The sequence below is a fragment of the Homo sapiens genome, chromosome 17 (genome assembly GCF_000001405.40).
Source record: "Homo sapiens chromosome 17, GRCh38.p14 Primary Assembly".
NCBI lineage: Eukaryota > Metazoa > Chordata > Mammalia > Primates > Hominidae > Homo > Homo sapiens.
In genome coordinates, this window is record NC_000017.11 from 8916125 (window position 1) to 8929925 (window position 13801).

Sequence of the window (13801 nt, forward strand, 5' to 3'; positions counted from 1 at the left end):
CTAGCCCCTGGGAGCCTGAGAGATGGGGAGAGGGAACCCAGCCAGGGGACCCTCAGCTGAGCTGCCCTGGGGGTTAACCCAGCACACCGGGCTCACCACCCACCCCTTTGACACGCTCATTTCCGTCTGAGTCAGTCATCAGCTGTTTCTTATGACTTGTCAGCAGAACCTCACGGCTTTGGGGCAGAGGTGAGGGGGGAAGACAGTGGCACCCGCTCTCCCAGCATGACGCCTTTTTTCAAAAGCTGGGCAAGCAGGGCCTGGCTTCCCTGGCATCACCCTCCCAAGCCCCCTCCCTATCTTGTTGAGAGGAGCTCCCATTGTAAAATTCCAGCTGCTGCCGGGAATGCCGCCCCCCGCCCCCCCGCCCCCGCCACCAATTCCCCTGCCAGTGGTGAGGTGGTGTTGAAATATCCAACAACAGGGCCTTCCCCCATCTCCAAGTTCCTCTTCTGAGCCAGCAAAGAGGACTCATAGTCCTTGCTGGGGACCCTGCATGGGGCAGAAAGGCCTGGAGTCGGGGTGGGTTGGTGGGACCCCAGAGGGCACAGAGAGAGCCAGTCCTGCTTCCACTTTTTCTTCCCATGTTGACAGGATGCCATGATGTGGAGGGCTCATCTTCCCTCTGGTGCAGGGCTGGTCAGAGGAGGTGTAGGGTCTGCCTGGGTCCAGCTTCCCAAGGCAGCCCACGATGGGGCAGGGAGGAGAGCCTCTTGGGGGTTTCTAAATAGTAATGAAAGGAGGAGTTAGAGGGCCTGCATCTCATATGGAGGGGGCCTCCAGGTTCTGGCTGGCTCTCCACACTGCTTTCCTGGTGTTCTGGAATATTCTAGGCCCATGCAGTCCTGGGCTGACCCAGCCTGCTTCCGTCCTGGATGACTCCTCCCTCTCCTGCTTCTTACCTTCCGAGGCTTGACTCTCCCTTCTCTGCCCCAGTCCCTTCCTCATGCCTTCATAAGGCAGAATCTCCACCGTGACCTAAGTAAAAGAATTCTTCCCAACACAGGAAGGATACACCAGAAATTAAGGAGATTGGTTAGTTACTATGGGAGGTGGAGGTGAGAAAAGGGTGGATAGGATCAAGGAATGAAACTGGAGATGAGGGAGGAACAGCACTTCTCTGAGGATTATCTGTGTGTATAGCTTTAACGCTTAGAACCATGGCGATATTTTACATACCCAAAATTAAATAAATAATCGAAATCAACCAGAATATGGGGGCAGGGGACCAAAAGTGGGAGACAAGCAATAACAAATTAACCTAACTGTATAATCAATTACTAACATAACCACACTGACGGGGATAGGGAATGAAAGCACTAACTTCAGTAACTTTGTAAAATGGTACTTTGACTGGATACTGGTCAAAGTCAAAAATAAAAACTATAGACAAATACTGTTTTCCAGTTATTAAATATGTTTCTCATATGAATGTGAGTTAAAAATTCTAAAAGTTCGGGGCCGGGCATGGTGACTCATGCCTGTAATCCCAGCACTTTGGGAGGCCAACGCGGGTGGATCACCTGAGTTCAGGAGTTCAAGACCGGCCTGACCAATATGGTGAAACCCTGTCTCTATTAAAAATACAAAAATTAGCCAGGTGTGGTGGTGTGCGCCTGTAGTCCCAGCTACTCGGGTGGCTGAGACAGAAGAATTGCTTGTACCCAGGAGGCGGAGGTTGCAGTGAGCTGAGATTGTGCCACTGCACTCCAGCCTAGGTGACACAGCAAGACTCCATGTCAAAAAAAGAAAAAAAAAGAAAGAAATCTGAAAGTTCTTTATGTGTACACTAGCATTAGACAAATAAGTGAATAAACCATAGATAATAAGAGCTAAAGAAAGATGTGACAAATAAAGAAGGGGGAAGGCTGGAATGAACCTTGTGGAGTTGGACCAGACTTGAAAGAATCAGTATGAACTCATGGTTTTTAATGTATATACAGATAAATACATATAGAAAAATTTTAAAAAGATGTATGTGCTTGGATTAATACACATACATACATTTTCTAGTTCTGTCTACAGAGAAAGCCCAGAGGCAATGACATCCCAGTAGCAACAAGCACACCTAGTGCCCAGATCTTGGTTTCTAAATACCATTTTCCAATAAAAGGAAACAGAGCTCCTTGGAGACATGGCTGATCCTAGGATTGAAACAGGAAATATACAAAATAAACCCAGCACATCTTGTAGTGCCAGAAAATAAGTCAATATTTGAAAAACCATGGGGAGTGTCAAAAGGACATAGGGTCTAACCTGAAGGAGCTTCCAATGGCCACAGCTAGGACAATTTGAATGAACAAAGAAAGTGATGAATTATAACTCATAGAATAAAATAAATACCCACAAGTCTATAGATAATTATAGATAATTAAATGTTATAGATAATTGAATAAAAACATAAATGGAGGAGAAATGACAGGTCTTCTTTACAAAAGAATTCCAATTAATAATGTGAGAGGAATGAGAGAAATAGAAAATTGTCACTAGGCAAACACCATGGTAATAATTGTAGATCCACTGATGAATGCTAAAAATCTGTTAGTGAAAATCTGTGGACAAATAGGATATTTGTATAGCCTCAAAGTATTTCCCCCCAAATAATTACCACTTATAAAGGGGAAAACAAGAACTTCTCAGTGGAGGAACCCAGCAGACAGCACATTAACCATATGATCAAGGTTAACATGACCAGCAATAAGCTATACATATCAGCATCATGTATCCCCTGCTGTAATGCACTGAGAAGGGAAGGACACGTCACTTCTTTGTGTTTTTTTGTTTTTGTTTTTTTGCCAAAAACACATAACTACAATCATGAGAAAACACCATTCAAAACCCAGTTTGGAGACATTCTATATGGTGATTACTCACCACATAGACATTCACTATGGTGAGTCCTCACCAAAGTGTTCAGGTCATCAAAGATAAGGAAAGATAGAGGACTATCACAGATTGGTAGAGACTAAGGAGACACAAAGGCTAAATGCAATGTGAGATCCTGTACTGAATTGTAGAACAGAAAGAGAACATTAGGGGGAAAATATGCTAAGATTCAAATGAGGTCTGTCGTTTAGTTAATAGTACTCTGTTAGTGACCATTTCCTGGTTTTGATAACTGCACCATGTTTATGTAAGTTGTTAATTAGAGGAAGCTGAGTGAATGGTAGACATGGCTCTAAGACCTTTTATATATTTACATAGCCTTATGCCCTTTCAGTATCTTTCCAGGCAGTTATCAAATGATTCCCTACCTTACATGAGCTTCTTGAACATTGCTATTTCTTCTGTAGTCACAGTGGACTAGCGCAAGGCTGGCTGCCTCAAAATCCCCCAACCTGAAGTTCCTAAACTGGGGCTGAGAATTTCTGGGGCTCTGTGGGGGATTTAAGGGCTGTCTTTGAGAATGTTCAAGTTATGTTTTCATTTTAATGTCAGTCTAGATACAGTTCATAGTTAATATATTCTGGAACATCTTGATGACCACCTCATGACCAAATGTTACCAGATCTCCGTGCCCAGTTTGCATTTGTGTCATACCGTGTTGGTGTCACCTAAAAGGACAGGGCACACCATGTGTGTGCTTGGGATCTGCAAGAGCTCAAGGTTAAGCACAATGAGTTAACATAGACAAATGTGTGGAAACATTCCCAGTGCATAACAAACATTCAATATATGTTCTCTGTTACCTATCAGAGTTTCCTTCCTCTCCTCTCCTTCTCTCTCTCTCTCTTTCTTTCTTTCTCTTTTTTTCTTTTTCCTTCTTTTTTTTTTTTTTTTTTTTGGACGGAGTCTCGCTCTTTTGCCCAGGCTGGAGTGCAGTGGCGTGATCTCGGCTCACTGCAACCTCAGCCTCCGAGGTTCAAGGGATTCTCTTGCCTCCCGAGTAGCTGAGATTACAGGCATGCACCACCATACCAGGCTAATTATTCTACTTTTAGTAGAGACAGGGTTTCACCATGGTGGCCAGGTTGATCTCGAACTCCTGACCTCAAGTGATCCACCTGCCTCGGCCTCCCAAAGTGCTGGGATTACAGGCGTGAGCCACCATGCCCGGCCCAGAGTGCTTTCTTAACACACACATCTCACCTGCCCAACTCTTGATGTCTTCAGAACTAGGCCAAGAAATAAAACACCTCCTGCATGATTCTGACGCACAGTTAGACTTGGAAAGTCATGCTTTTTATTTTACACACACATGCATACACACACACATTTGACTCTAAGACTGGGAAGGCACCTTAGGTACCATTTAGTACAACATTCCCACTCTACAGATATGAAAACAAAGGCTCTGAGTGGTGAAGGGACTTGCCCAGATCAGACGGCAGTAAATCTGTAAGTAGAATCTGAGCCTGGAACGAAGGATAATCATGCATCCCTCTGCATAGATGAGGATCGCACTCTCCTTGCTGCCCAGCAGTGAGTGACTTCAGCTGCTCTCCTCAAGGCTATTTTTGGAATCCCTTTTCAAATTTCTTCCAGAGTTATTGGTCTGTTCAGGTATTGAACTTTATGTGTCAACTTTGCAAATTTAGGTTTTCTGACAATATCATTCACTTTAATCAAGATTTTAAAGTTAATTAGCAAGAATCAGAAATTCCTATATAATTTTTACAATTACTTCTGTAATTTTAGCCCTTCTTTTAACGTAACTTGTTTTCTTTTAAAATACAGGTCCATATGTATATTAAGTATTTTTTTTTCTTTTTTCTTTTTCTTTTTTTTTTTTTTGAGATGGAGTTTCGCTCTAGTTGCCCAGGCTGGAGTGCAATGGCGCAATCTTGGCTCACTGCAACCTCTGCCTCCCAGGTTCAAGCTATCCTCCTGCCTCAGCCTCCTGAGTAGCTGGGATTACAGGCATGCATCACCACGGCTGGCTAATTTTTGTACTTTTAGTAGAGACGGGTTTCACCATGTTGGTCAGGTTGGTCTCAAACTCCTGACCTCAGGTGATCCACCCGCCTCAGCCTCCCAAAGTGCTGGGATTACAGGCATGAGCCACTGCACCCGGCCTGTATTAAATATTTTATACTACTTCATAGTTCTTTCAATGTTTTTGACATTTACATTAAATGTAATAACTGTGATAACAGCAGTATTTTTGGACAGTGGCTTTAAGTTTCATTTATTTTATTACTCACTGTTTTGTTTTGTACCCTACCATTCCTACTTATAAGTCCTTTATTTTGGTTCATGTCTTGCTCACTCAAGTATTTCGAGTAGTTTCAGGACAGATATGTGGGTGAGGTACTTTCTGAGACTTTACATGTCATATGTCATTCATTCTGGCTCATGAATTATAGCTTTGCCAATTATAGAATTGGCATAATTCATAATTTTTCACCCTCGAAATGTTCATAGAAACCCAAGAAAATCAACTGAAAAATGGTCATACCAAAGAACAGAGTTAGGTAAAGTGGTTAGGCACAAATTAATATAGAAATCAATATTATCTAACTATGCAAATAAATTATGTTGGGGAAACAAGATTCCACTTCTAACAGCAACAAAAGTAATACAAATTTTTTTAAAAACTTTAAAAATATGCAATATTTTTATAAAGAAAATGTTTGAGGGACACGAAAAAGCAAAAGTAAATGGAAATACATATTCTGGTGTTAGGAAGATTCAATACCATAAAAAATTAATTCAAAAAGGATCAAAGATCTAAATGTAAAGTGCTAAAACTATAAAACTCTTAGAAGAAAAATTGGGGGAAGCTTCATCACATTGGATTTGTCAAAGATTTCTTGGATATAACACAAAAAGCACAGGCAACAAAAGAAAAAATAGTTAAATATCAAAATTTAAAACTCTGTGCATTAAAGGATACAATCAACAGAGTGAAAAGGCAAGCCATGTTATGGAAGAAAATATTTGCAAATCGTATATCTGATTAAGGGCTACCATCTTGAATATATAAAGAACTCCTGTATAACTCAACAACAAAAACAAACCACCCGATTTGTTCATTCTCCATGAGTTTCAGCCTGGAGAATAGGAAAGAAGGAGGGAAGGAGGGAAGGTGGGAGGGTGGGAGAGAAGGAGGGAGGGAGGGAGGAAGAAAAGGAGGAAGGTAATTATTGAGTGGCTGATCTGTGTCAGGTACTATGTTGGGCGCTTTCACTTAGTTTGATAATCATAATTGATTATCAAATTGATTATCAAATTATCAATCCCCATTGTCTTGGGAATTAACATTCAGTTAATCCCCAAGACATTGATTACTTAGTTTGATAATCATAATCACCCTGTGACATTATCATAATTATTCACATTTCCTGCAGCTCAGGGAGGGTAAGCCATTTATTCACTCAAGTTCCTATGGTCACAATTCCTATGGCCCGAGCTTGAAGTCTGTGCAAAGTTGGCGTGACTCTCAAAGCCCATGTTCTTTCCTATGTCGTGTTCATAGGAAGTCATTTCTACTGGTTTCTAGACACTTAAAGGGCTGAGTGTACTGTTTCGTCTCAGTGTTGTAATTTGAGGCTTCCAGGGAAGACGTCTTGCATAAAAATTGGCTGAGTTTCCATTGTTGGTGATTCATTCTCCTTGGGTTAGGGCTGTTCACTTCCTCTGTCCTAGCTTATTTTTCAAGATGTAAGATTCTTGGAGGATGATTTAGCCACCAGATGAGTCTGTTACAGCAGTGACGGTAGCTAGTGGGCAGGAGAAGGACTCTGGGGCCAGGAGAGGGAGGAAATGTGAAAAGGTAGGTGGACATGGTGTGGAGGTCCAGGGAAGGCAGAAGATGAAGTAGAGATGTACCAAAAGAAAGAAACACTGAAGAAGCAGAGGCAAGACTGCCCACTTCCCCCCATCTTTGCTCAAGCCCTTCTTTACCAAGGAAGGGGCACAGGAATGCCTGGGAAGACCACAGTTGTGGTCAAGACCAAGAAGAAATGGGATGAGGATGAAGGAGGGGAAGGAGAAAGATGCTAACGTGTACACAGCACTGACCCTGGGCCAGATACCATGCTTAGGGCTTGAAGCACATGATCTCATTTATTTTGAGCCACTCTAGGACACTCTGAACTTGCAGAGATGAGGAAGTTCAGCTCCTGTTGGCTAAAAGACTTTCCCAAGGACATACGGATAGCACAGAGAGGATTCGAACTAAGGTCTCTCTGGTCCACTCTACCCAGGTACAGTACCGAAAAGACAACAGGATGTACAATGTCACCTTTTCATATAATAATTTTAATAATAGCAGCTAATAGGAATTGAAAGCTTACTATGTGGCAGGCACCGTTCTAGGTGTTTCTATGAATTAAGTCATTAAATCCATGTGAGGTAGACACTCCTTACCCCCATTTTACAGATGAGGAGACTGCGGTACAGAGTATTCTCTCAGCTGGTAAATGAAGTATGCTGTAGGCAATTTAGCTTCCCCATGCAAGTAAGAGCAGCTATACTGGAGCCAGGGGTGGGCAAACTGAAATTACTGCCAAGCTGGGAAACCAGAGGAAGACTATAACAATAAAACAAGCAATAAGCTCCAGGCAGCAACCGAATTCTTTGGGCACCTGGGCTAAACCTTGGGCACTTACACGGGAGACTGTTTAATCCTACCACCTTTAAATATGGAGCCCATCTTAATGGTTAGACAATGTGCACAGGAGAATAAAGCAGCAAATGAATGTAAATGTAAAAACTCAAGAAAGGCCAATTACACATATATTGGCAGCTTTCTGGTTTTTCTGGATGTGGAAAAAGATTGCAGTTGTGACATTGCACCCTTCCCTTCCCTTCCCCTCCCCTCCCCTCCCCTCCCCTCCCCTTCCCTTCCCTTTTCAAGACAGGGTCTTGCTCTGCCTCCCAGGCCAGAGCGCAGTGGTGTGATCATACCTCACTGCAGCCTTCTGGGTGTGGAAAAAGATTGCAGTTGTGACATTGCAGCCTTCCCTTCCCTTCCCTCCCCTCCCCTCCCCCCCTCCCCTCCCTTCCCCTTCCCTTCCCTTTCCTTTTCAAGACAGGGTCTTGCTCTGCCTCCCAGGCTGGAGTGCAGTGGTGTGATCATACCTCACTGCAGCCTTGACCTCCTGGGCTCAAGCGATCCTCCTGCCTCAGCCTCTCAAGTAGCTGGAACTACAGGCACATGTCACAATGCCTGGCTAATTTTTTTTTTTTTTTGTAGAGGTGGGGTTTCACCATGTTGCCAGGCTGATCTTGAACTCCTGAGCTCAAGCAATCTGCTGGCTTCAGCCTCCCAAAGTGCTGGGATTACAGGCGTGAGCCACCTGCAGCCTGACACAGGCTGCTCACTTTCTACAGGTAGAATCATTTCTAGTTTGTAAGACAGATATGAATATTTCATAGTTTTGGGCAAGGAAGATTTTTCTCCTTCCAGAGCACTGTGACTTCTAGATGCTTTACTATCAGAATAAGTTTGGGGTAGACTGGTCCAATCCATTATCTTTTCCCTTGCACAGCTTTTCTTCTCTTCCAGAGTGATAAACCATTTACCACCCCGTCTTCTCTCCATTAATCCAACAGCAGGTCATTGTTCTCAGACACGGGCACATCTTCACTAGTCTCCTTTTTACTCTCTTTGAACTCCTGCCCAATTATGCAAGAAAAATCTCTCAAATTCTCCCCCTCCATCCCATTCATGAATATGCTTTAGAGCGAAACCTCTCTAACAAGAAAACAGATACTCATCAGGTTTGTGGACAGAACTGAAATCAGACACTCCTCCCGATACTTGGCCAGGTGTGGTTTTTACAACTTTTTATGAAACAAACGCTGATGTCAAGAGTCCCGTTTAGCCCAGTCTAGAACTCTCTAGATCTCTAATGGACAACTTACTATGACATTAGGGCATCAGGCACTGATGCAGTCTCTCCCAACTTCTCACCAAATATACCAGATAGATAGTTAGATAGTAGATGGATAGATAGATAGATAGTAGATGAATAGATAGATAGATAGTAGATGGATAGATGGATAGATAGATAGTGGATAGATAGAAAGTAGATGGATAGATAGATAGTAGATGGATAGATAGATAGTAGATGAATAGATAGCTAGATAGTAGATGGATAGATGGGTAGATAGATAGACAGAAAGTAGATGGATAGATAGATAGATAGTAGATGGATAGATAGATAGTAGATGGGTAGATAGATAGATGGTTAGCTAGTAGATGATAGATAGTAGATGGATAGATAGATAGATAGTAGATGGATAGATAGTAGATGGATAGACAGTAGATTGATAGATAGATGGATTGATAGATAGTAGATGGATAGATAGATAGATAGTAGATGGAGAGATAGTAGATGGATAGGTAGATAGTAGATGGAGAGATAGATAGTAGATGGATAGATAGTAGATGGATGATAGATAGATAGTAGATGGATAGATAGTAGATGGATAGATAGTAGATGGATAGATAGATAGATAGTAGATAGATAGTAGATGGATAGATAGATAGATAGAGAAAAAAGGAACACACATGCATACAATCCAAACTGAAACCAACACTGACAAGCCAGAATGAGGGATTGACATTATGTCTAAATCAGATGGAAATGGATTAAGAAAATCCAGGCTTAGGTTCAGGCCAAAATCTCTATAATAAGTGGGTACAGCTTGCATCATGGCTGAGTACATTTTGGTCCCCAAGTGGGTGTGCACTTTTTCCTTGGATGCTTCATCCCCTTTTGTCTTTTCCTTTAATGCAGATAGATGCATCACATTCACTGAGATGGAGAAGTTTGGGGAGAGGACAATTTGGGAGAGGAAAACAAGAGTCCTGCTTTGTCCGAGTTCTATCCCCTTCAGACCCCAATGGAGAGGTCTGGGCTACAGCTCTCTATTTGGGAGTTCACATGGTGCTGTGGTCACTGAGGCTGTGAACCATGTGAAGCGAGAAGAGTGAGGAGAACACCTCCAGTGTTAAGAGGTGGCACCGGAAGTATCACAAAAAGACACTGAGAAGATGCAGCTCATGAGCAGGAGGAGAACACGATGTGACAGGATCCAAAACAAGCATGTTTCAAGGAGGGAGTGAGGAATGCCACTGCAAGGTCTACAGCATGAGGGCAGAGAAGTGGCCACTGGATCTGGTGACATGGAGGGTTTGAGTGACCATGAAAGAACAAGTGCAGGAAGAAAAGACCAAATGGAATGGGCTAAGGAGAGAGAAGTGACAGAGAGGCAACTGCTTTGGGAAGCTTTGCTCAGAAGAGCTGGGTTTATGAAATGCCCCAGGATCCAAAAGAACCCTAAGGTTCTTCCAGTTTGAAAAAAAATGTCTATATCGATGTCAAAAGAAAAACTACCCGTATTAGTCCATTTTCATGCTGCTGATAAAGACATACCTGAGACTGGGAAGAAAAATAGGTTTAATTGGACTTACAGTTCCACACGGCTAGGGAGGCCTCAGAATCATAGCAGGAGGCAAAAGGCACGTCTTACATGGCAGCAGCCAGAGAAAAATGAGGAAGATGCAAAAGTAAAACCCCTGATAGAACCATCAAATCACGTGAGACTTATTCACTACCACAAGAACAGTATGGGGGAAACTGCCCCCATGATTCAGATTATCTCCCACCAGGTCCCTCCCACAACACATGGGAATTATGGGAGTACAATTGGAGATGAGATTTGGGTGGGGACACGGAGCCAAACCATGTCACTACCCAACATGGTTACACGTCCAAATGCTAACAGAAATTATATCTGGGAGGTAAAAATAGGAATAATTTTTATTTTTTATTAAACATTTTTCATAATATATATTTTATGCCTTGTTTTTTATCACATAGATAACAGAGGTTATATATATATAAATTAAAAAATGGTGCTGGGTAAGTGGAGTAGATATGCTTTTCCCTATTCCATTTGAAATACAACTACAAGCCCTGAACAATATATATAAAACTAACATAAGAGACCCTGAAAGAGAGAGAGAAGGCACACAGGCTAGGGACCCTGGGGACAAGGAATGGCATGGGTGAGTTCCCTGGCTTCTCTTTTTGCCTTATAGATTCCAGACTTGGAGCTGAACAGCCAGCAATCTGAAAAAATGGGTGCAGATTTAAAATAAAGCCCTCACAAAAGCCTGCTCTCTCTAGCCAAAGCCTGAGGAAAGAGGCAACTTAGCAAGACAGACACTTTTAGACAATACCTGCTCTATTCCAGCCAAACTCCACAGGGAAAATTGTGGTGCCACCTCCACCAGCAAAAGCCAGTTAATCGGCTTAGACTTCCACCCTGGCCAGGCCGTAATGAGGTTCCCCAAATCCCCTGCCATGGCCACTGTCTGAAGAAGCCAAGTAGATAGCCAGGTCTTTTATCTCCATTAGCGGTAATTAGCCCCCTCCCACTCCACAGTGTTAGTGGACACCAGTGAGGAGCCTGGACTTCCACCCCCACCAGACAGTAAAGAGACACCTCCATGATAAGATGATGTCAGAGGAAGCCTAGCAGGGAGTCAAGACTTTTACCACTGCCCAGAAGTAATGAGGTCATCCCCTCTGCTGTGGTGGCATTGTAGCTGTAAGGAGGCACTCCTACCGTTTCTAGCCAGAGACGTATCAGTGGAGGCCTGTTAGAACTTAGATATGTTTTTTTTTGGTCCCACCAAGTCTCATGTTGAAATCTGATCTCCAGTGTTGGAGGTGGTGCCTGGTGAGAGGTCTTTGGATGGTTGGAGCCAATCTCTCTGAATGGCTTGGTGTCATTCTCATGGGAGTGAGTGAGTACTCACTCTTCATTCCTGAGAACTGGTTGGGAACCAGCTTAGTTCCCCTGAGAGCCTGGCACCTTCCCCCTGCACCCAGTTTCCCACCATGTGATTTCTTCACACCAGCTCCTTTTAACCTTCCACCATGACTGCATGTGGCTTGAGGCTCTCACCAGATGCAGATGTTGATGCCATGCTTCTTGTACAGCCTGCGGAACTGTGAGCCAAATAAACCTCTTTTATTTATAAATGACTCAGCCTTGGGTATCCTTTATAGCAGCACAAACAAAGACAAAACCTAATAGGTAGCTGGAACTCCCACTCTACCCCTTAGTAATGTCAGACAAAAGGTCTAACATTCATGTGATTGGAGTACCAGTGGGAGAGGAGAAAGAAGGCCGGGCTGAAAAACTACTTGAAGAAATAATCACTTAAAACTTGGCAATGGAGGCTGAGTGTGGAACCTGAAGAGGAGAACCTCCTGGGAGAGGAGAAAGAAGGCAGGGCTGAAAAAGTACTTGAATAAATAATCACATAAAACTTGTCAAATTTGGCAAAATATATAAAACTACAGTTTTAAGAGGCTGTGTGAACCATAAACAGGATAAAGCCAAGAAATACACACCAAGACATCTCATAGTCAAAATTCTGAAAACTAAAGACAAAGAAAAAATCTTGAAAGGATCAAGAGAGAAACAACACCTTATCTTAGATGAAATATAATTTGAATGACAGTGTACTTTTCATCAAAAATTATGAATGCTAGAAGGAAGTGGAATAACATATTCTAATTGCTGAAGGACAAGCACTGTCAGCCTAGAGTCCAATATCCAGCAAAAATATCCTTCAGGAATGAAGAGGAAATCAAGATACTCTCAGAGGGAGAAAAACTGAAATAATTTGTCACCAGCATCCCTACTCTAGAAGAATGGCCAAAGGAAATTCTCTAAACAGAAAAAAGGATAATAAAAGAAAGAAATCTTGGAACATCAGGAAGAAATAATAAGAAAGGGAAAAATCTGGGTAAATACAATAGATTTTCCTTCTCCTCTTGAGTTTTCTAAGTTATCTTAGATGGCTGAATAAAAAATAACACAGTCTGATGTAGCATTAAATGTATGCTGAGTAAATATTTAAGACAATCATATTATAAATGGAGGCAGGTAAAGGGAAATAAAGGGAGGTACAGTTCACTAGGACTGGTAAAATGATAACAGTGGACTGTGATAAGTAACAATATATGCAGTGACCATTCAAAAAGCTATACAAATAGATATATATAAAAGCATTACAGATAAAATAAAAAATGAATTCTAAAGAATGTTCAGTTAGTCCATAGGAAAAAATGCAAAACCAATAACAAAATAGCAGACTTGAGCCCTAACATATCAGTAATTACATTATATTTAAATGGACTAAATAAGCCAATTAAAAGACAGAGATTTGTAGTGAATTATAAAACATAACCCAACCATTTGCTGTCTACAAGAAACTCACTTTATATATAAATATATAGACAAATTAAAAGTAAAAGGGTGGGAAAATATATATCGTGCAAGCATTAATTAAAAGAAAGCAGCAATGGCTATATTAATATCAGATAAAGTGGAGCTCAGAGCAAAGAGAATTACCAGAAGCAGAGAGGGACATTATATAATGACATAAGGTCAATTCACTAAAAGACACAGCAAACCTAAATGTGTTCACACCAAAAAGATATGTGAAGCAAAAACTGAGAGAACAGAAAGAAAACATAGACAAACTCATAATTATAAGTGGGGACTGCCACAGTGGAATGCTATACAGCCAAAAAAAGAGAACAAAATCATGTCCTTTGCAGCAGCATGGATGAAGCTGGAGGCCATTATCTCAAGGAAATTAAGGCAGAAACAGAAAACTGAATACCACATGTTCTCACTTTTAAGTGGGAGCTAGGCTATGGGTTTGCAAAGAAATACAGAGTTGTATAACGGACATTGGAGACTCAGAATGGGGGAGACATGGAAGGGGGTGAGGGATGAAAAACCAACTACTGGGTACAATGTACACTACTCAGATGGTGGATCCACTAAAATCCCAGACTTAACAACTATACAATTCATTCAT

The 13801-nt window shown here is 42.0% G+C and overlaps 1 protein-coding gene across 12 annotated transcripts in view, besides 1 other annotated feature; it reads right to left on the reverse strand.

Annotated features, from left to right (window-relative positions):
• PIK3R5 (phosphoinositide-3-kinase regulatory subunit 5) overlaps positions 1-13801 on the reverse strand; it is an 86792-nt gene that overhangs the window by 37209 nt on the left and 35782 nt on the right. The gene's annotated exons all lie outside the window — the stretch shown is intronic.
• Positions 200-269: a silencer, noted in NCBI's record as "silent region_8189". NCBI's record gives its function as "represses an Ori minimal core promoter by ATAC-STARR-seq in GM12878 lymphoblastoid cells {active_cell/tissue: GM12878}" and the evidence as "EXISTENCE:reporter gene assay evidence [ECO:0000049][PMID:35858748]".